General features: G+C 52.6%; 1 annotated feature.

Moving 5' to 3' along the window:
- Positions 1,247-1,746: an enhancer, noted in NCBI's record as "H3K4me1 hESC enhancer chr5:176537235-176537734 (GRCh37/hg19 assembly coordinates)". NCBI's record gives its function as "activates a minimal SCP1, AML or CMV promoter by ChIP-STARR-seq in primed H9 embryonic stem cells {active_cell/tissue: H9 hESC(primed)}" and the evidence as "EXISTENCE:reporter gene assay evidence [ECO:0000049][PMID:30033119]".

Here is a 2,845-nt window from a genome sequence, read left to right on the forward strand (position 1 = left end):
GCTGAAGCTGTCCCAGCGAAGTCTAGGAGCATTCAGCTAAGTATATACACACATGCCCTATGACCTGGAAATGTTGCCCTGAACATATAACTGCCCCCAAACACACACACACACACACACACACACACACACACACACACACAACACACAGAGATCCTCCCATGTGACCGTGTGGGGAAGGCAGGAGGAGGGGTTGGATCCAGCCTGGGGTTCCTCACTGGAAGGCGGATCAGCAGAATGTGTGGAGGACCCGGTGGACACAGAGCCACATGGGGGACTTAGAAATCTCGTGCTGAGAGGCAAGAGGAAGAAATGGAATGAGATCTAAAGCACAAAGCCACTTGCACGAAATGATGACACGGAAAACACACATTTTCCAAGAACGCACACACAAAACTATTAGCACGACTGTCTGGGGGGCAGGGTGATAAGAATGGAGAATGAGGCCTGGCGTAGTGTCTCACGCCTGTAATCCCAGCACTTTGGGAGGCCGAGGCGGATGGATCTCGAGATCAGGAGATCAAAACCATTTTGGCCAACATGGTGAAACCCTGTCTCTACTAAAAATACAAAAATTAGCCGGGCGTGGTGGCACGCGCCTGTAATCCCAGCTACTCCGGAGGCTGAGGCAGGAGAATTGCTGGAACCCGGGAGGCAGAGGTTGCAGTGAGCTGAGATTGTGCCATTGCACTCCAGCCTGGGCAACAAGAGCAAAACTCTGTATTAGAAGAAAAAAAAAAAAGAACGAAGCACTGAGCACTGACCAGATAGAGGAAGGCGTGCAGGGGTGTGGAGTTGTGGAGTGTTGGGAATTGAAAGGCTCAGTAAATCAAGAAATGTTTACTGGGCACCTACCATAGGCCAGGTACTCTTCTAGTCACTGGGTATACCCAGTGAAGACAGACCTGGCCCCTGCCCTGAGGAGTTTCGTATCTACAAATGGAGACAGATATTCAACAAACACCCAGGAAAATGCTGACTGTAATGAAACGCAGAGCTCTGAAGGTCAACAGCCTGCAGCTGTGAGTGCTGACGGTGGGGACTGATCCTGGCCGGCTCCGGCTCCGGCTCCGGCTCCGGGAAGGGTTCCCTGAGGGAATGATGTTTGAGTTGAAGGAGGAGAGCCTTGGCCTTGTGAAGAGTGGGAGGAAATGCATTCCAGGCAGACAGAATGGTCTCTGCAAAGGTCTGGAGGCAGGCAGGTGCAGGGCGAAGGTGAGGGCATCCGATCCAGCTCCGTGGACAGAGCACAAGAGTGAGGGGGAACACGGTGCCAGATGAGGCCAAACCCAGGGGGCCTCGTAGGCTGTGGGTTTATCCTAAGGCAAGTGACAAGACAGGAAAGCAAGGGGCTGGTGCAGATGGGCAGGCAGTGGAGGGGATTGTTGCAGCGCCTGGCTAGACTCAGAGCCGGGAACCGGAACAGCCCCCCAAAGTACATGTGTGGCCTCCCAAGAAGACAGAAGTAAGAGCCCCAGAGCATCCACAGAGTGACCATCCACGCTGTCTCCCACTCTCTGGTCTGGGGCCAGCAGCGCCTCTGCACAGCTACATTCTGAGGCTCCCAGCTTGGCCAAGGGGATAGAGAAAAGTGGAAGGCCAGATGCAGAATAAGAGGATTTGCTAGGCCAGGCATGGCATTTCACGCCTGAAATCCCAGCATTTTGGGAGGCTGAGGCGGGAGAATGACTTGAGGCCAGGAGTTCAGGACCAGTCTGGGCAACACAGTGAGACCCTGTCTCTACAAAAAAAATAAAACAATTAGCCGAGTGCGAGAACACGTGCCTGTAGTCCCAGCTACTTGGGAGGCTGAGGTGGTAGGATCACTCTTACAGAGAGAACAGTCTCTGCTTGGAATAGTCCAAGCTCCTTAACACGCAGAGGAGGCCTTCAGGATCTGGCCCAGTAGGTTGCAGTGAGCTACGATATTGAGTCTCTGCACTCCAGCCTGGAACACAGAGCAAGCTCCTGTCTGAAATAAATAAATAAATAAATAAATAAATAAATAAATAAATAAAAGGGAGGCCGGGCACAGTGGTTCATGCCTGTAATCCCAGCACTTTGGGAGGCTGAGGCGGGCAGATCACCTGAGGTCAGGAGTTTGAGATGAGCCTGGCCAACACAGTGAAACCCTGTCTCTACTAAAAATACAAAAATTAGCTGGGTGTGGGTGGGCTACTAGGTAGCCCAGCTACTCGGGAGGCTGAGGCAGGAGAATCGCTTGAGCCCAGGAGGTGGAGGTTGCAGTGAGCCGAGATCATGCCACTGCACTCCAGCCTGGATGACAGAGCAAGACTCCCTCTCAAAAACAAAATAAAAATAAAAATAAAAGGGGGCTGGGCGCAGTGGCTCACACCTGTAATCCCAGCACTTTGGGAGACTGAGGCGGGGGATCACAAGGTCAGGAGCTCAAGACCAGCCTGGCCAAGATGGTGAAACCCCGTCTCTACTAAAAATACAAAAAATTAGCTGGGCGTGGTGGCGGGCGCCTGTAGTCCCAGCTACTTGGGAGACTGAGGCAGAGAATTGCTTGAACCTGGGAGGCGGAGGTTGCAGTGAGCCAAGATCGCACCACTGCACTCCAGCCTGGGTGACAGAGCGAGACTCTGTCTCAAAAAAAACCCAGAAAATAAATAAATAAATAATAATAAAAGGGGACTGGCTGATGGGGGGTGGGAGGGTGAAGGAGGTGATGGAGAACCTGGAGATGGGAAAGGACAGAAAGTTGAGTGAACAGGTGGCATCAGTGTGTTTCAGGGGCCTGAGGAGGGACCACAAGGGGGTGGACAGGGCAGATGATGATGAAAATGTCGCCAGACCAACACACTGTGCCTGACCGTGAAAC

Source organism: Homo sapiens, chromosome 5 (assembly GCF_000001405.40).
Source record: "Homo sapiens chromosome 5, GRCh38.p14 Primary Assembly".
NCBI lineage: Eukaryota > Metazoa > Chordata > Mammalia > Primates > Hominidae > Homo > Homo sapiens.